The sequence below is a fragment of the Homo sapiens genome, chromosome 14 (genome assembly GCF_000001405.40).
Source record: "Homo sapiens chromosome 14, GRCh38.p14 Primary Assembly".
NCBI lineage: Eukaryota > Metazoa > Chordata > Mammalia > Primates > Hominidae > Homo > Homo sapiens.
In genome coordinates this window covers 38,194,210-38,213,235 of record NC_000014.9, presented here as the reverse complement: position 1 = coordinate 38,213,235, position 19,026 = coordinate 38,194,210, and the positions used below count along the sequence as shown (strand labels likewise).

Here is a 19,026-nt window from a genome sequence, read left to right as displayed (position 1 = left end):
GTATAACCACAAACTTGGTAAAATTCCCAAAAGTAATCTGAAAACATTCTTCTTAAAACCTAAGTGACAAGTAAGTCAACTAAGCTAGTGTGTGTGTGTGTGTGTGTGTGTGTGTGTGTGTTACCAAGTAATCCATTGAAACAATAAAATTCAAATAGCAAAAACAACTTGCAACAGCATAATACATCTGTTTATTTAGTTAATATTACAATGGTAACAAGTTAAGAGCACTAAATTTGTATCCTCTTAGAAGGATAATGATTAAGATTTTGATTTGTAAATTTCACAGTTCTTAACCATTAAAAATCTATTTTCCAAAGGAGTAGTAATATATATTTTTATTAAGGGACAGATCTAAACTTTCTGATTTATGACCCAAAGCATATTTGTTCATTAGTTTAAGCAAAACATTAGGGATATCTTAACTCTTGGTTACTGCTTTCAGGAAAGCACAAAGTTGTTGAAGCAAATATACACAAAACGTATTTTTCAATAGTGATTTTAACCATTGTATATCATGTCAATGAGTGAACCTGAGAACCCCAGATTTAGTATCTCCAGATTGTTGTAATACACTCTGGCTTAAACAATCAACCAACAAACATGTATTTAGTGCCTACTATGTACAAGCCAGCATACTAAAGCAATACAGGAAATATAAATAATTAAAATTATTGGTCCTCGCCCTGCTCAGGCTTCCAATGTAGTTGGTAATATTAAACACAGACACAAATTATTTCACTTTCAATGTCCTCAAAAAAAGTGATGATGTTAACTGGATCATATGTAAGAATCACCTCTGCTGGAACCCAGAGGGAGCAGGGGCATCTTCAGCAGTGATTAAAGTCTCTGTCTGAATTAGATTCCTCAGCTCCAGGTTTGAGTGCTGCTTGCACTCCTGAAACTGAAAGTGTTCCAGCCAGACTCACACCTGTCACCATCAGTGGCTATACTTAGACTCATGGACTCATGACAATGGAGCAAGATAAGTATACATATGTCCACATCATATATATAAATATATATACACTCAAATTATATATAGGGTGATGTTCCCCTATATATGTCTCCTGGAAAGCCAGGAGTTCAGGACTTTCCACTGTGCATGGAGAGGAGGATAACCCACATTATCATTTATGTATTATCCTAATAAGACAAACAAGAGACTATAGTAAGAAAAGTATGAAAAATCTCCAAACTTCACTCAACACAATCAAAAATAGAAAAGCTAGAGGAAAGGATGAGATAAGAGGGCCCAGCATTGAGGAGAGGCGTTGAGATGGCCAGGGAGTGGGGCAAGAGCTTGCCCCTACTTCCACTTCCATGCCCGCCCCCAGGGTCCCAAAGAAAAGACCTGGGGCTAGGCAAGCAGAGAAAAGGAAAGCAGAGACACATTTTCCAACACGACAAATAAATTAATAAATATATATGTTAAACAAGAAAATAACTTCTTAGGCACCGCTTGAAAGGCAGCAACCCTCTAGAGACCAGGCAGGCCCCACTCGGGAGCCTGCAGGTTGCGGCGACACCGCCAACACTGGCGGACTCTGAAGACGTCGCCCTAGGTCCCCCGCCCCTGGCGCCCGGTCTTTTGAGATACACTGGAGCAGGAAACCTTATCTATTGTTACTTTTAGGTCGGCTCCTCCGGAAACTTGGGTGAGGGAGAAAGCCAAGGCGGGCTGCAGCCCTGCAACCGAACCCCGAACCCCGAACCCCGGGGAAGGTGTGCCCTGCACTACCCTGCCCTGCCTAACGCAGACGCGCGGCCCGGGAGCGCCCAGCGCTTGGTCTTTGAAAACGCGCAGTAGGAGGGTGATTCCTATTACGCGCCCACACTCCGACCCCGCAATCTTATAAAAACTCCTCATTCGGCTTGTTCTCAGCTCCTTCTTTGCTCCAAAGGAGGGCTTGGGTGGGAACTCCAGAAAGCCTGGAGTTCGAAGCGCGGGACCTATTTTACTAAGCACCTGGCTCTACTCTGGGTGGAGTGAGAGTGGTGGTGGCGGGCGGGCGGCGAGAGGGGGACAGGGGAGGGCAGGGAAAGATGCACCTTCACCCAAGAGTAGGAGAAAAGACCAGCTGCTTAGATCTTTCTCAAGTCCAACTTTCCTTAAGGTAGGGCTGCGCAAAGGGAGAGCGGTCATTCCCGGGACTCCAGTAGGGGCACCAGACAGAACCTGGACAGCGGCCCCGCGCGGCTAGGGACTAACGCCGAGGGAAACCCGTGGCGGTATCCGTGGCTCAGCTTAAACAAACAGAAATAACGACTGGAGGGGCTGAGGATCAGAATGAGTTGTTAATGAGTTCGTGATCTGCACTGGCGGGACGGTGCGGAAGAAAGGATAGAAGTTGCAGGGTAGGGAAAATAGAAGGAGGGTCAGAGGAGTAAGCGCAGTGGAGGAAGGAACAGAAAGTGGGAGACCCAGAAAAAGGTAGCCTGAAAGCCTTCCCAGTTTATAAGCAAAGCTCTCACTTCTACCATTGTCGCGCGCCTTTCTTGGGTTCCTCCATCAAAGGCTGTCAGTGTCCTAGCCCCACGTTATCCCGACAGCACCCTGGCGCCCTGGATACCGTCCCTTTCGCACCCGGCCTTCCCTTCTCATTCTCCCCCTCTTTTGGCTCAGGGCCCCTGCGTGGCCCGGGCTCAGAGCCCCTGCGTGGCCCGGGCTCAGAGCGTCGTGATCCGGGACGTGCAGGTGCCATTACGGAAGACGCCGCCGGACTCCAGGTTCTCAGGTTGGAAGTCTTCCACACTGTAGGCACGGCTCTTGAGCGCGGTGGCGTAATAGTCAACCGGCTCCTCCGCGGCGTTGTCCATCCAGCTGAGGCATAGGATGCGTTGGAAAGAGCGCTTGAAGTTGTCTGAGAGAAAGCCATAGAGGATGGGGTTGGCGCAGCTGTTGGCATAGCCGAGGATGACCGACAGCTGACTCACCGTGGCGTCGTCCTGCTCAGCAAACACGTTGACCAGCTGCACCACGTAGAAAGGCATCCAGCAGATGACAAACACCATCACCACCATCATCACCATTAAGGTGATCTTGCGCTCCGAGCGCTTGCGCTGCTGCCAGCCGGCCTTGAGGGCCACCATGCGCATCTTAGCAATGATGAGCACGTAGCACAGGCAGATAGCCCCCACGGGCAGCAGGAAGCCCATGAGAAATGTGTACAACACGAAGCCCACCAGCCAGCGTTGAGCGGGCTCTGGCATGAGCATGTTGCAAGCCACCGTGCCGTCGCTGTTGGCCGCGGTGCGAGAGAAGACCACGATGGGCAGGATGACGAGCAGCGATAGCACCCACACGCCCAGGTTTACTACCTTGGCCACGGTGGGCCGGCGGTAGCGGGCCGCCTTGATGGGATGCACCACGGCCACGTAGCGGTCCACGCTGAGCACAGTCAGACAGTAGATGCTGGTGAACATGTTGACCGCGTCCACGCTGAGCACGAGGCGGCAGAGCAGCGCACCGAAGGGCCAGTGGCGCAACAACGTGGAGGTGACTAGGAAGGGCACGCTGAGCATGAGCAGCTCATCAGCAATGGCCAGATTTAGGATGTAGATGTTGGTGGCCGTCTTCATCTTGGCATAGCGCAGGATCACGTAGATGACCATAGAGTTCCCACACAGCCCCACCAGGCACACCACGGAGTAGATGAAAGAGATCAGGATGGCGCTGCCCTGGCCCTCGCTCAAGGTCCCGTTCTGGGACGCATTTCGCCCTGGCTCCTCCATGCCGTCCGCAGCGCCGGCCCCGGGGCCCCTGCTGCCGCCGCCTTCGCCGCAGCTGCCCGGGCTGGGGCTAGGAGAGGAGGAAGGAGAGGAGGCGGTGCCATTGGGGAACATCCCAGCTGAGGGGGGCCAGTGGGGCTGCCAGGGCTGGGGCTTTCTCCTCGCGCACCCGCCGCCTGCGCCCTCCCTCCCCACCCGACCGCTTGCCTGCAGCCCACAGCCGCCCAGCGCCTCCGGGTAGAGCGCAACCGCTGCGGGGAGCGCGGCTCCTACCGGCGCCGGCGGGGCGCACAGCCCAGCGGTTGCCTGGGCTCTGCAGTTTGCAGCTCCGGGGTGCCCGGGCACAGGCGACCGTGGAGAGGAGAGGCCAGGATGTGGGAGCACCGCACGGCACAGCCATTAACTGGCGCGGCTCTGGACTGGTAAATGATTAATAGGCACCACCAGCGCGTCAGCAGCTACGAAAAAAGGGGGTGGGGTGGAGAAAGGGAGGAGAGCACATAGGTGGCTTGTCCCCCCCGCCCCCCATTTTTTTCCTTCCCAGTCCTGCACTCTGCTCAACTTTAGTGGCTCCTTCCGGGGTTCCCTCGCAGCACCATCTGCCTCTTGCTCTCAGAGGAACCAAGAGAGTTCCTCGGCCTTACTGGAGGGCGGGTGGGAACCAAAGGTATAGATTCTGTCTCATTCCACTCCTCTCCTACCCAAAGCAAAGACTCAAACGGATCCATGAACATGGATGTCTGGAGTTCATCTCAGTTTCCCTCCATTGCTGCCCTTTTCTCTGGAGACCCCAGCTTCTCTCCCGTCCCGCAGTCCAGAACCCTAAATTCCCTCTTCCCACCCTCGCTTGCCTTGCAGCTCAGACCCGCCAGGGAAGTTCCGGGCCCTCCTTACCCAAAGTGCGCAACCTCCAGACTGAGACGTAGATGGTCGGTGCAAAGTGCATGTGCGGTCTGTTAGCAGGTTGACGATCTTCGCGCAGACCAACTCCCTTCTTTGCGCCTGGCCCCAGCACAGGTGCCCACGCAATTACTCTTAGAATCGCGGAAACTGGCCCTAAGCTGCGAGCGTTATGAGAAGAAAGGACAACCACCGTGCGTTAGGGGCTTCTGCGCTATAACACAGCAGGCAGCTTAGGCTATTGGGAGTGTTCAGGGACCTGAGTGAACCATTCGCAAATCTCTTAATAAAGCTCGTAGCGCTCAGAGCCCCCCGTGTCTCCCACAGGAATATCGACTGCAGAAACGAGGACGCGCAGCTGGGAGCTCTGGAGGAGCTTGAGACTCCCTCCAGAAACGTGCCAGGCGCGGTGTTGGGAATCCACCTAGGTGTTCACTCGGGAAAGATAAGGCTGCGCCGCTTGGAAGGGCTCCACCCGCGTCCCTGCTGTACTTTGTACCCTGGAGAGTTGGCGGGTTCTGGCAGACGAGAGTTTAAAGGCTTGGGCGGGCGGGGACGCCAGCTCTTCTAAATCCAGGTGAGGAGCTGCCGCCGTGCGATGACCAGACCTGTCACCAACCCCAGGAACGGCAGGGCGACATTCGAGTTTTTCCGGGAAGAGCTAGGATGTCAGCTCTTTCTGAGGCTTGATTTGTGAGCTGGCTCTGGGTCACGTGCCCAAACCATTAGGAGATATCAATGTAGGCAAGCCTGAAGCTCACTGACTTCATTTAAGAATCAAAACGGTTTTCCCGTAAGAAAGAATGTATGTTCCGTTATCAGGATTTTAAACGAACCCTGGGACTTACCACCATTCTTACTCTAGGGTCTCTTTGGCTTTCCAACTGTTCCTGTGGAAGGAAGAATCACACTCCATGCAACTTCCCTGTTCCTTTTCATAAACGTTGCTTTGCTCGGTAAGATCCCTGCAAGCCTTTATTTGAAACTAGCCTGTTCACAGGAAGAGTGACCCGCAGCAGCTTAGTGCTCTGCCTCCTTCAAGCTTTGCTGTCTCCAGTTTTTCCTTAGTTTCTCCTTCTCCTCAACCAGGCTGTGCCCGCTGTACTGTAAGTCTCAGTTTTCCTCCTCTCAGTAGAGTTTACTCCAAGGAGAGGCTAAACTCCTCATGGAGGCTATCTGTACCGGTCCAGAATGAAGAAATGGATGCAGAAATTAAAAACAAAAAAGTATATTTCCTAATGCCCTGTTGCTTTATCCAGGTAATCACTTACATATACTGCATGTGTTTTAGTTCCCAAAACTAATTGTCTTGAACAGGAAAGAATAACTTCTGTAGTGTGTTGATGATAGCAATCAAAGACTAAAATAAATGACAGACTTTCATAGGAATGTGTGCAATTATTAATGAGGAATGTGCTAGGATGGAATTTGAAATTTCATACGGCTGAAACTGTTTTAACCCATTATTTTACCTGAACAAATTGCCTTCTTTAAAGTGGAATGTACAATTGGTGTTTAGTTATATTTATTTTTCCTTTACAAATACAGCACATATGGAGAGAAAATAAATGTTCATTAAGTTAAAAGAAAAGAGAGTGGGTATTGTCCCAGAATCCCAGAAGAGCATTTTACTAGCCAAGCCTCATATAATGCCTTAGATGCCTCTGCCAATCACTGACTAAAGACACCTGACTATCTGTACCTCTGGGAGCTTGGATTTCAACAGTCATTATTTAGATGCCTTGGCTTTGATCATGGTTGCTCTTTGGGAAGTGTGTGATGGGAGTCAGTGAAAAACAGCTCTGTTGTTCAGAATTTCATTAAATTCACTTTCAGCTCATCTTAGGGAAAATTTCTCTCAATTTTGTGGCCTCATATACAAAAGAAGAAAACTTAAGACCTGACGTGAGAATGCTTTTTATTTTTATTTTTTTGAGATGCCACTTTTCACCCACTAGGATGGCTATAAGAACATTTTTAAAAACAAAAAATAAACGTTAGTGAGAATGTGGAGAAATTAGAACACTCATACATTGCTGGTGGGAATAAAAAATGATGCAGCAACTTCAGAAAAAAATTTTGGCAATTGCTTAAAAAGTTTAAAAGTTTAAAAGAATGACCATATGAGCCAGCAATTCCACTTCTATTTACTCCTCAAAATTGAAAACAGGTGTTTAATCAAAAACTTGTGCATGAACATTCATAGCAGCACTATTCATAATAGCCAAAAATTAGAAACAATCCAAATATCCATCAATTGCTGAATTAATAAATTGTGGTATATCCATACAATGGAATAGTATTCAACCATAAAAAGAAATGAAGTACTAATACCTGCTTCAGCGTAGACGAAGCTTGAAAACACTATGCAAAGGGAAAGAAGCCAGACACAAAAGGCCACGTGTGGCATGATTCCATTTATATGACATGCCCAGGGCAGGCAATACATACAGACAAGGTACGTTAGTGGTTGCCAGGGGCTGGGGGCAGAGGGGAAAGAGGAAGGACTGCTTAATGGGTATGAGCTTTCTTTTTTGAGTGGTGAAAATGTTCTGGAATTAGATAGTGGTGATGATTGCATAACATTGTGAATATGCTAAAAATCCCTGAATTGTACACTTCAAAAATGACTAAAATTATAAATTTTATATTATGGGAGTTTTACTTCAATTTTAAAAAGCATGAGAGAAAGACAAAGAGAGGGATTGAGATGGATATAAGCTATGCAGCATTATTAAATCTTTTCAGTTATGTATTTATTTTTAAATTATTATTATTATTATTATTATTATTATTATTATTATTATTTTGAGACAGGGTTTTGCTCTATCACCCAGGCTGGAGTGTAGTGGCACAATCACAGCTCACTGTAGCCTTGATGTCTCAGGCTCAAGTGATCCTCCCACCTTAGCCTCTGGAGTAGCTGGGGACTACAGGTGTGCCCCACGATGCCTGGCTAATTTTTAAGGTTTTTGTAGAGATGGGGTCTTCCTATCTTGCACAGACTGGTGTGGAATTCCTAGCTCAAGCAATTTTCCTGTCTCAGCCTCACAAAGTGCTGGTATTACCCGTGTGAGCCACCGTGCTCAGCCCAGTCATGTATTTCTAATTATTGTATTTGTGAACTAATCTATGAACAACAAAAACAAACAAACAAACAAAAAGGGTGGCATTTCTGGGCCACCAGGAAGGTGGATTGGGGTTGCAGCTATTTTCAAATTATATTAAAAGCAGGATCCCAGTTAGAGCGCTATCTTCCCCTCAGATCTCAATTTAATGTAAATATTTCCAAAGAAAAAGGAAAACTGATATGGGCATGAGATCACTTTAATTTGCAAAAAACGCAGCCAGTGAATAGTCAGGACTCAACAATCTTCTTGTCTTGTTAAAAACTTTTTAGGTTCACATGTCTAAAACCTTGAAAAGATTAGGAAGAGCTTGTTTTCTCCCTACAAGTTACCTGTCCTCCAGCCCTCTTTGGTTACCATCTTTCCTATGCCTCTGTGATATGAACATTTATAGATAGAAAAGAAGGAGATGTTTTCCAGAAAGGGGAAAATGAAATGTTCCAATTTAGGAAGTTGCAGATTCTTGAGCAGACTGATTTTCTTCCCTCACTGTAACTTTCTCCTACAAGCTATACTCTCCTGTGCTATCATGTACCAGGTGCACACTTTGATTATTATATTTATCACACTGTACTGTGGCTTTTTGTGTACTTGTCTGTACCCTCTTATAAATTTGTAAGCTTGTGGAGACCAGGGGCTTGCATTTTATTTATTTTTCTATCCCCAGCATCTAGTGCAGTACCTACAAAATTGCCCCAAATCACCTTGTTTTATTTTGTCAAGGCATCCCATGGATAGTACTTTCCTCTTTTCTAGATTATAAAATGTAGATGCAAAGAAATAAACTGTGAGCTCCTTATAAGTAGAGCTTTACTAGCTGAGGAATATCATCATGTGTATTAATTCCTTATACACTTAAATTATTCTAAATAATTTCAATTTGCATGTCCTATATCAACAATTGTCATACTGATGACTCATTCATTGATCATTCTTGGTCTTAAATTTCTCAGCAGAGAAAGGGCTCTGGAAAATGGGTAGTACATGCATTAGTAGCTAATGATGGTTATTTAATAGTGTCATGCAGTGTGAAAGTCATCATACATGGAAGATCATTTCCTTTTAATAGCAGTTTTGAGCCTCAGTTCGTTTGGTGGAATAGTAATTATCAGCACCTCAACTTCTGCTTATGTCAAAATCATTACTAATGTGGTTTTTCCAATCAGAGCCTGTGTTGATCCTTAAATGAGCATCTCTAATTCATACCAATGATAAAGGGCTGGCTGGAGCCAGGGATTAAAGGGTACACTTCCTGGAACATTGTCTGCAGCAGCAGAATCAGTGTCAGGTTTACAAACACCTGTCTGGACAGATGGGACCAAATTGAGTATAAGGGGCTAACACCACTCAGCAATATGGCCTACAGCAAAGGTTGTGTCACTTAAGGACCATCTGCCACTAAGCAGTTAACATGATGTCAGTCTAACGAGAAAGTTACCAGAGCACAAATGTGGCTATAGGGCTAAGAAACAATCCTGGACTTCATTTCTCAGGAATACCCAATCACAGCAGCCTTGGTAGCCTGTGGTTTAGTTCATCACCAACCTCAGCAAACTCACCCTGGCCCACTGATTTTCCTATTGCCTCTTCTGTGAACAGCATGACAGAGTCTTTTTTTGTGCTTTTAGCAAAGACCCATATGGTGTAACAACTCCTATTCTTCCCTATGTTTTCTCTACTACAAAATAATATTTCTAAAAACAAGAATTCAGCACATACAGGAAAGTATTCATTACAAATAATGGAAACATAAAAGCAGAACAGGAGCACATTCATGTTATCTGTATTATTTTGAATAGTCCTTATCAGTAATACATTTTTCTGTAATAAAGTCTGTTAGTTAAGGATTTTAAGATGGATGCATTAGTTTAAAACTATTGTCTCGAAATCTTTTTTCTTTTCTTTTTTTTTTTTTTTTTTTGAGAACGAATCTTACTCTGTTGCCCAGGTTGGAGTGCAGTGGCATGATCTTGGCTCATTGCAACCCCCACCTCCTGGATTCAAGTGATTATCTTGCCTCTGCCTCCTGAGTAGCTGGGATTACAGGCGCCCATCATGCCCAGCTAATTTTTATATTTTTAGTAGAGATGGGGTTTCAACATGTTGGCCAGGATGGTCTTGATCTCCTGACCTCATGATCTGCCTGCCTCAGCCTCCCAAAGTGCTGGGATTACAGGCGTGAGCCACTGCGCCAGATAATTGTCTCAAAATCTTTAAAAAAATTTTTTTGGCATTTCTCTTTTTAGCAAAAATCACAAAGAAATGCTTTCAAAACCACAAACCATATTTTTGTTTATTTTGATACTTCAATTTATGTTTGATTTTGAGCAGAGGATTTAAATACTTAGAGCAAATCATTCATTCCTTGAGAAAGGGCTGTTCCTTTGGAGCGGGCTATATCTGTCAATCAGCTCCACCAGCCCAGCAAAGAGCTAGGGTGTGAAAGGAAAGCCTGTTTTGTAGATGAAAACAATGTAAGCATCTAAACGCCCACCACCATGATACTGCCACTTTGTTCTCATTTTAAATATGTTGAGGCAGGAGTCTAGGTTCATGTTTCAACAGCCAAAACACTTTTATTTAGACGATGAAGCAACTTAAATGATTGATCTTTTCTCCCTTTCTGTAATTAAGTTGGAACTGGTCATTACTGGTTCTAGGTTGACAGTCTCTCCATCTCCTTGTCTTCTCCTGCTGGAGGCAAAATGGGGGGCTGTGTCTGTGAGCTGTCAGACTGGAACTCAGAACTACCAGGAGTGGTCCGGAAAGAGGTCCTGGATCCTCACCTCACTGTCCCCTCTTGAGAGTGGACTGCCTCTCCTCACCAGCACCTGGCCCTGCCCCTGTCTCCTTTTGCCCACAGCATGGAATGCTACTTTACTTAGTCCTTGAGGAAGTAGCCCGTGCTACTACTTTCCTACAGCCTGACATCTCCTTTCCTGCCAGAAGAAGGAAGTAAGAAGATAGCATAGCCTAGGTGGGGACACCTGGCCTACACTCCTTCTTTGTTGACTGTTTGGTTGAGCCAAGATTTCGCTGCTTATGCCATTAGCCAATGCAGTGGTTTCTGATATTATATCCTAATTTTAAAAAATTATTTGTATGTGTTTTATTTTATGGAAGTAAAATTCAGACTGCAGTAGAAAAGATTTATTTCCAGTTATTTGCCCCATTTCTTAGTTAAAAGGAAGTGGAAATTAATATCAGAATTCCACTATGTATGAGTAATGTGTGTTTTTAATTGTAACTTAGTAATTTAGCAAATACTTAGGGAATGCCCACTGGGTGGCAGGCACTGTTCTAGGCACAATAGATATAATGACAAATTAGATTAATTTTCTGTGGAATTCTAGTAGGGCAGAAAGACAGTAAACAAGTACAGGTACTGTAATTTCATTTCGTGATAAGTTCTAAGAAGATAAGTGGGGGTGAGAGGATACAGAGTGCTGGAGGGGTGGGTGCACTTGGTATAGATTAGATGGAAAGGGAAGGAAAGAAGATGTTTGAGCAGTTATGAATAAGGTGAAAGTAAAAGGGCACATGTCTGATGAAGGTTGTTCCAGTCAAAGGCAACAGCGCACATAAACCATGGGGATTCTGCAGATGTAGGTGTTGGCATGCTAAAGCTACACATTCCCAATTTTAACTTACTTACCTACTTTCTACAGTCATAATTTAGAGAACATCTCTAGGTGTAAATAATTATTTATTTTGATCAGCACCTCATATAGAGAATACATGAAGATCCTGTTCTTTCCCGCTTCTAGCCACATCCTTCCCGGCAAGGGAAGGAGTTCCTGCAGCCAACAAGTGCCCAGTCTGAGCCCGCAAGCCACATCTAGCCCATACGCTAGATCACAATCTTCTAGACTCCATGACTCCCTGCCCAGAGGCTCCAAACCCACTTCCAGGGAAGTGTGAGCCAAATACATGGCCAAGAAGAGGCTCAGAGGTGACTAGGAGAGGATGTGGCAGATGAGTAATGAGCTTGGCCATAGGGGTTCAGGTATCTGTCCTAATGTACATGAGCCTATTCACTGGGCAGGACAAAGCCAGGAATGGAAGTTGAAGTAGGACAGGCTACTGGTGGGGGCAAGTTCCAGGGTAGAGCTTGTGAAGAGGGCTAGGAGTCTAAATTGGACTCTGTCTTTCCAGGTCATAATGAAGATAGATGATAGGCTATATTTTATTTAACGGACTCTGAGCTTGATTGATAACTTTCAAGGTAAGCAAACATGCACACCAAACAAAACAGTTGGGCCTTTGGAAGAACTTGAAGCACAGATGTATAACCCAAGCCACCAAGAAGATGGAGAGAGGATGCCACACCACTCACTTTATTCTTTTCTGACTACCCCGTTGGCCTTTTTCATTCCAAAATAAAATTTTGCTCTTCCCCCAGTCAAAAATAAAAATGTTATATAAATAATGATGTAAATACACACACACACATTAAATGAACATATATATGCATAGGCTTGAAAGGACAGTTACTAAGATATTAACAGTGGTTATCATCAGGTAGTTGGGTTGTGAATGCTTTCTTCTCCCTTTTGCAGAGATTTTCTAATTCTTCAGTCATAAGCACGCATTGCTTTTTAAGTAAGATAAAAGCAATAAAAGCTTTTTATACCTTAAAAATGAAAAGACTCCAGGCCGTAAGTGTCTGTTCTATTTAATATAACATTTGCTGATTTATTTTCTCCTCAATTATTTTTACTTTTAGAAAAACACTAATAAATTTATTCTTGAAATTAACATGTTGTGATGTAAGTTAAATGGCAAACAAAACATACCCGTCAGAAGGTGGTAGAAGGAACTGGAACAGGAGCTACAACAGTCTATTATTTTCTAGGCAGCCCCTATCATCCCATAGCTAAGTGATTCATTGAGTATGCTTGAGTCTGATATGCCTATCTTTTGGAATTGCTTTATCATTGCTATATAATGTGATTTATTTGTGACATAAATCACAAGATAATGTTTGTGAAAGCAAAGTGTAGTCTAATACCAAACATCAGGGCTTACATCTCATATTTTCCATGACTTTAACCTTGTGCTGGTTGTTTGATCCCTCTGTGCTTCATTTTCCTCATTTGTAAAAGGAAGTAACAGTGCATCTATCTTGTAAAATTGTTAAAAGGATTAAATACATTAAAAGTGTTTAAAACAGTGTCTGGCATATAGTAAGCACTATGTAAATATTTAGCTATTATAAAATAATTTCTGAGGTATGGGTTACAATGTAACACTGTTTTTGAATTAGCCCCAGACTTGAAAAATCCAGTTTTGTCCCTTGCTTAAGAGCTTAATACAGTAGGTCTGACATTCACTTCTGCAGTCTAAAAAATACTGACAGTTTCTATGTGTATGATACTTACCCTTTCTTTTTCCTCCTGCCTATCCAGTTGAGTCCCATAATTCCAACACTGTGAACTATGTTCCATTCACCAGTTTTTGGTACATGACACACCCTCAGCTAAAATAACTCTAAGTTATTAATCACACCTATCTACGTCATACTGAAGTCAATCTAGTCTACCACATGGTAAGGATTCATACTAATCACTGAACTCACTGACTCAAATAACCCAAATGTTTGAATGTTACATATGCACAGTCTAAGTTGAACTTAACTTTTATTTTGTCTCAATTTCCAGTGAGGCCCCAGGCTCCCAACCTGATGACTGCAATTGGGAAATGTATCCACTTTCTAAAGAGAGGTGCTAGTCCACCCCCTTAGCCCATTGCCTACCTCCATATATGAGAGTAGAAAGGAAGTTGATAGTGATTAATTCCTTAGAGACAGTTCTCAGAGTGCTGTGCATTTTTCTTCCCACAAAAGATGGAAAGTGGGTGCTTACCCCATCTGTAAACTGTGGAGGCTTCTATAAGACCACTTAAAGAGCTTGGTAGTATCCCTGAACATTTGACAAGACACAGAGACTGATGTCTGATTCTTACCTGGAAAACTTAAAGGTGAAGAAGCGGCCCAGTGGGAATTGCTTCAGGTGGTAGAGTGAAGAGAAAAGGCTATGGAGGGGGGTGCAAAACGCTGGTTCCCACTGAAAGTGGAGCAGAGGCGGTGTTTCTCAGGCACTGGCATGGACAGTATGGCAGGCAGGCAGGTGGGAGCCCCGTGATGGGCCTGCTCTCCACCCCAGGATGAGAGGACGCTCAGCGGGAAGTTCGTGAAGCACAACAATCAACAATCAGTAGCTGAGTGGGGAATGCAGCCAGCTGGCCAAGGATATTGGGCACGCCATCCAAGGGCACAATGGGTGGTCTCCAGCAACAGAGTGGGCGATGCTGAAGAACCCACTGAAGAATTTCAAAGGAGAAAGAAGCACTCACAGAGGGCACAATGCATGATTATAACTGCACCGCTCAAGGAAGAAGTTGGCTGTCCCCAAATGATTTTCCCTCTCCCCTGCAGGAACCAAAGACAGAGAAAGGGGTGAGGGAGGTAGAGTAAAAAAATACTGCAAAGACATGATAAAGAATTAACCGCTTCCCTCTTCCCTACTACAGGATCCAAGCATAGGTCATGCTGGAGCTGGTATAGGGACAAAGAGATTTAAGTTCAATGAGAAATGAAAGTTTCAATTTAAAAAGGATTTTTAAAATAATGTCTGAAAATAAGACTGTTAATGTCTGAAAGTGAACAAAAAAAGCTGTGGGATCTGTGTGTACTAAGTACTTTCCATTTACGGTTTCAGCATATTTAACCCTTCCAACTACACTATGAGGAAGCTTCTATTTACTACTCTCATTTTGCAGATGAAGAAACCAAGGCACAGAGAGGTTAAATAACTGGCTCAAAGTCACACAGTCAGAGCTCGAATTTGACTCTAACAATCTACCCTAAGGCCTGTGTTCTTAAACATCATGCCACACTGCTGTGGTCTTATCTCTTACTAAACTCGATTCAATTAAAGTGTGGTTTTGAGACCACGAAATTACATAAATAGCAAATTTAAGTCATTTTTATGTTTTATGCATTCCTCAATGAATCCAATAATTGCCTCAGTCTTCTCCTCTATTCATGTTGCCTAATTATTTAAAAGTAACTAGACCTCATCAGAAATTTGGAGTGACATGTTTTGAAAGAATTTAACCTTAAAAAATGTTATTATAAAAGTATTAAGATTGATGAGCCATTGGTATTTTGGTACCAAAGAAAATGCATTTTCTGTTAACAACTGACCACCATTTCCCAGTTCTAAACATGTGACGATCAGTACTGCAGGCAGCTTTGTGCTGTCTTCTGTATGAGTATTTCTCTGTAGTTTTTTCCTACACCATTCCTGTGGTCTTGTCATGCCTCATCTTTGCCCCACCTCAGGAAAATGGATATCCAAGTGGTGGGTCAGCAGAGCCGCTAGGTAGAGGATAAATGAGCAATAGCTGCTTTGAAGTGATTTGTATTGATGCCACAAAATCCCAGCCAAAATGTATTCCCAGGAAAGGAAGAGGGATTGCTGCTGGAACAAAATCAATTAAAATAAAATTTCCCCTTCCCTAGAGCAAGTGTGTGCCCATTTCAACTGGTTTAGGGACTTTGCACTTGGACTTTTGTTGATTTGACTAACAGTTTTAACAGATGAGAATACACAGATGGCAGATTCACTCATGTGGGGGATCATTCTTTCCTAATTGAAACATTATGCCTCTCTTCACTAAACAATTAAGTAAGAAATTACCATGTTTAGTCCATTAAAATGCCTTAACTTAATAGAGGATAATGACACACAAGAAAAACTTGTAAAACTCAATATTCACACTTGCACATAAGACTAGAGTAAACCAAAACTATTCTACTTTAGTTTTAGAATTTTTTTGATGGCAAGCTTTTAAATGAAATTGCATTTTTTCCCCTCTGAACTTTGAGATTAATAGGTCTTATTTTTCACACATATGAAATTTTTAGCATTTTTTTTTTTTTTTTGAAAATTCTATTCAGTTTTACTTGTGAAAACACATGCTCTGAAAATCCACTAGGGGGAGATTTTAACATTGAGAACTTTGATAGGGAAAGTTTCAGATTTTATACAGTTGTATGTCAGTTGACAGCTGGAAAAACTTAAATTTTGAACTAAGCCTTGATTATAAGGTTTACATCTTGATAAAGCTACCCAAGATATTCCAGCTATATTAAAACCTGGACTGAGTGGCTAGGGAGAACTGATGAAATATTACTCAGGCTTGTCAGAGAATGCATGTGGAGGCTGTGTGTTTGGGGAAGGAGGGGGATTTGGGTGTGAACAGGATGAGACCTTGTGTCTCTAGGGGTTGAACCAGATGAAAGAGTAATCTCTGGCCATTGCCACTGTGTATACTGTTAGTAATTTCTGGTTTCCACTGATGCATAAAAGCTTGATTTGGTTCCTTGGGGAGGCTGAGTCTTAGAATACCACTGAAATTCTCTGTAACATGATGAAAGAAATGAAAAATATATATAAGGGATATTTTTTAGATGACTTGCCTTATTTGAGGAGGCATGGCACTTTTGCAGAAATCTTCAGATAACCACCACCACTGTGGTCCAAGCAATAACAACTTGATGTCATCGAAATTCCAATAAAATTTAAAATAGATAATCTCTATAAAGCATCCTGTGATAGGATTTGACATGTGATGTCTTTTCCAAAGCTTGACTAACATGTTAACAAGGGAAGGTTTTTTTCTACTGTCAGCAAAACACCTGTAGTTTTGTAGAGTCTTTTCCCCTAAAACTGAGAAATAGGATAAAAGAGTCATTGGTGCTGATTCTAGCGCAACCACTCCCCTTTCAGCAACTTACTATTTTGAGAGGTGATTTTCTACATACAAATGATGTTGTCCTTTCTGCCAATAAGTGAATTTTTTCATCCTCTTGGGTCATATACTTATATCATTTTCCCCATATTGTATAGCATCCTTTAACATATTATGTAAGGATGTTTTTTTAATGCGCGTCCGTGTGAAGAGACCACCAAACAGGCTTTGTGTGAGCAATAAAGCTGTTAATCACCTGGGTGCAGGCAGGCTGAGTCCGAAAAGAGAGTCAGCGAAGGGAGATAAGGGTGGGGCCATTTTATAGGATTTGGGTAGGTAAAGGAAAATTATAGTCAATGGGGGTTTGTTCTCTGGCGGGCAGGAGTGGCGGTCGCAAGGTGCTCAGTGGGGGTGCTTTTTGAGCCAGGATGAGCCAGGAAAAGGACTTTCACAAGGTAATGTCATCACTTAAGGCAAGGACCAGCCATTTACACTTCTTTTGTGGTGGAATGTCATCAGTTAAGGTGGGGCAGGGCATATTCACTTCTTTTGTGATTCTTCAATTACTTCAGGCCATCTGGACGTATACGTGCAAGTCACAGGGGATGCGATGGCTTGGCTTGGGCTCAGAGGCCTGACATTCCTGCCTTCTTATATTAATAAGAAAAATAAAACAAAATAGCATTGAAGTGTTGGGGCGGCAAAAATTTTTGGGGGGGTGGTATGGAGAGAGAATGGGCGATGTTTCTCAGGGCTGCTTCAAGCGGGATTAGGGGCGGCGTGGGAACCTAGAGTGGGAGAGATTAAGGTGAAGGGAGGTATTGTGGTAAGGGGTGATATTGTGGGGATGTTATAAGAAACATTTGTCATATAGAATGATTGGTGATGGCCTGGATACGGTTTTGGATGAATTGGGAAACTAAATGGAATAACAGAAGGAGAAAAACAGGTATAAAAGGTCTAAGAATTGGGACGACTCAGGATATCTGATTAGAGAGTGCCTAAGGAGATTCGGCATAGTCCTGCCAGCAAAGATTATTTATTTATTTCAAGAGTTAAGAGTGGCAGTTTGGGGATAACACCAGGAGATATCAGCTGTGATGGCTTGGAAAAACAGTGTAAACCGGCAGTGTAAACAAGAGCAGGGCATGTATGAGTAGTTGAGAACGGTGAATAGGAGTATGACTAGACAGAAGATAGCAGGGATGACAAGTTTTTTGGGGGCACAGTCTAAGTTGGTCTGGTGTCTGGAATGAGACTGGGGCCTAATAAAAAGGAGTGTCTATACAGGAGCTTAAATGGGCTGTACCCTGTAGCATTCCGAGGACAGGCCTGGATTCTGAGAAGGGAAAGTGGTAAAAGTATTGTCCAGTCCTTTTTAAGTTGGTGGCTGAGCTTGGTGAGGTGTGTTTTTAAAAGACCTTTAGTCCATTCTACTTTTCTTGAAGACGGAGGACCGTAAGGGATATAAAGGTTTCACTGAATACCAAGAGCCTGAAAAACTGCTTGGCTCATTTGACTAATAAAGGCTCGTCTGTTATCAGACTGTATTGAGGTGGGAAGGCTAAACTGAGGAATTATGTCTGACAGAAGGGAAGAAATGACTGCGGTGGCCTTCTCAGACCCTGTAGGAAAGGCCTCTACCTATCCAGTGAAAGTATCTACCTAGACTAAGAGGTATTTTAGTTATCTGACTCAGGGCATGTTGAGTAAAGCTAATTTGCCAGTCCTGGGTGGGGCAAATCCTCAAGCTTGATGTGTAGGGAAGGGAGGGGGCCTGAATAATCCCTGAGGAGTAGAATAGCAGATGGAACACTGAGAAGTTATTTCCTTGAGGATAGAATTCCACGATGGAAAGGAAATGAGAGGTTCTAAGAGGCGGGCTAGTGGCTTGTACTATAGCATAACCTGCCTTTGCTGGTTTGTGGCGATTAGGCCATCAATAAATCCAGCGTGATCAGGGTGAGGAACAGGAAAGAAGGAAATTTGGGGAAATGGTGTGAATGTCAGGTGGATCAGAGAGATACAGTCATGGGGGTCAGGTGTGGTATCAGGAATAATGTGGGAGGCCGGATTGAAGTCCAGGCCAGGAACAACGGTAATTGTGGGAGACTCAATAAAGAGTGAGTATAGCTGAAGGAGCCGGGAAGCAGAAAGTATATGCGTCAGGTATGAGGAAGAAGATAGATTTTGGAAGTTATGAGAACTGTAGAGAGTGAGTTGAGCATACTTTGTGATTTTGAGGGCCTCTAAAAGTATTAAAGCAGCGGCAGCTGCTGCACGCAGACATGAGGGCTAGGCTAAAACAGTAAGGTCAAGTTGTTTGGACAGAAAGGCTACAGGGTGCGGTCCTGGCTCTTCTGTAAGAATTCTGACCGCACTAACCATGCCTAGGAAGGAAAGGAGTTGTTTTGTAGAAGGTGTTGGGGTTTGAGAGATCAGTCGGACACGATTGGCAGGGAGAGCACGTGTTTTTTTATGAGAATTATGCCGAGATAGGTAACAGATG

At 43.7% G+C, this 19,026-nt stretch overlaps 1 protein-coding gene and 1 long non-coding RNA gene across 3 annotated transcripts, besides 7 other annotated features; one reads left to right on the top strand and one right to left on the bottom strand.

Annotated features, from left to right (window-relative positions):
* Positions 1-168: 168 nt before the first annotated feature.
* SSTR1 (somatostatin receptor 1) lies at positions 169-5,332 on the bottom strand. 2 transcript variants are annotated; one of them, NM_001049.3, is made up of 3 exons: positions 5,132-5,332; positions 4,627-4,793; positions 169-4,190 (listed from the first exon to the last, which is right to left on the bottom strand). In NM_001049.3, exon 3 carries the CDS (start codon positions 3,844-3,846, stop codon positions 2,671-2,673), a length of 1,176 nt encoding a protein of 391 aa, NP_001040.1. In that variant the 5' UTR covers positions 3,847-4,190; positions 4,627-4,793; positions 5,132-5,332; the 3' UTR covers positions 169-2,670. The 2 variants fall into 2 exon arrangements, with proteins under 2 accessions (NP_001040.1, XP_047287684.1); XM_047431728.1 differs by lacking the exon at positions 5,132-5,332 and having other exon boundaries at positions 169-3,802; positions 4,006-4,190.
* Positions 2,479-3,181: an enhancer, noted in NCBI's record as "H3K27ac-H3K4me1 hESC enhancer chr14:38679260-38679962 (GRCh37/hg19 assembly coordinates)". NCBI's record gives its function as "activates a minimal SCP1, AML or CMV promoter by ChIP-STARR-seq in naive and primed H9 embryonic stem cells {active_cell/tissue: H9 hESC(naive and primed)}" and the evidence as "EXISTENCE:reporter gene assay evidence [ECO:0000049][PMID:30033119]".
* Positions 3,182-3,885: an enhancer, noted in NCBI's record as "H3K27ac-H3K4me1 hESC enhancer chr14:38678556-38679259 (GRCh37/hg19 assembly coordinates)". NCBI's record gives its function as "activates a minimal SCP1, AML or CMV promoter by ChIP-STARR-seq in primed H9 embryonic stem cells {active_cell/tissue: H9 hESC(primed)}" and the evidence as "EXISTENCE:reporter gene assay evidence [ECO:0000049][PMID:30033119]".
* LOC124903303 (uncharacterized) lies at positions 3,949-6,021 on the top strand. The gene is made up of 2 exons (XR_007064117.1): positions 3,949-4,154; positions 4,960-6,021. It is a non-coding gene; the product is annotated as an uncharacterized LOC124903303 (long non-coding RNA).
* Positions 4,869-5,530: an enhancer, noted in NCBI's record as "H3K4me1 hESC enhancer chr14:38676911-38677572 (GRCh37/hg19 assembly coordinates)". NCBI's record gives its function as "activates a minimal SCP1, AML or CMV promoter by ChIP-STARR-seq in naive H9 embryonic stem cells {active_cell/tissue: H9 hESC(naive)}" and the evidence as "EXISTENCE:reporter gene assay evidence [ECO:0000049][PMID:30033119]".
* Positions 9,638-9,932: a silencer, noted in NCBI's record as "tiled region #1824; K562 Repressive non-DNase unmatched - State 24:Quies". NCBI's record gives its function as "represses a minimal TATA promoter and a strong SV40 promoter by Sharpr-MPRA in K562 cells {active_cell/tissue: K562}" and the evidence as "EXISTENCE:reporter gene assay evidence [ECO:0000049][PMID:27701403]".
* Positions 13,408-13,908: an enhancer, noted in NCBI's record as "H3K4me1 hESC enhancer chr14:38668533-38669033 (GRCh37/hg19 assembly coordinates)". NCBI's record gives its function as "activates a minimal SCP1, AML or CMV promoter by ChIP-STARR-seq in naive and primed H9 embryonic stem cells {active_cell/tissue: H9 hESC(naive and primed)}" and the evidence as "EXISTENCE:reporter gene assay evidence [ECO:0000049][PMID:30033119]".
* Positions 13,909-14,409: an enhancer, noted in NCBI's record as "H3K4me1 hESC enhancer chr14:38668032-38668532 (GRCh37/hg19 assembly coordinates)". NCBI's record gives its function as "activates a minimal SCP1, AML or CMV promoter by ChIP-STARR-seq in naive and primed H9 embryonic stem cells {active_cell/tissue: H9 hESC(naive and primed)}" and the evidence as "EXISTENCE:reporter gene assay evidence [ECO:0000049][PMID:30033119]".
* Positions 16,584-17,572: an enhancer, noted in NCBI's record as "OCT4-NANOG-H3K27ac hESC enhancer chr14:38664869-38665857 (GRCh37/hg19 assembly coordinates)". NCBI's record gives its function as "activates a minimal SCP1, AML or CMV promoter by ChIP-STARR-seq in naive and primed H9 embryonic stem cells {active_cell/tissue: H9 hESC(naive and primed)}" and the evidence as "EXISTENCE:reporter gene assay evidence [ECO:0000049][PMID:30033119]".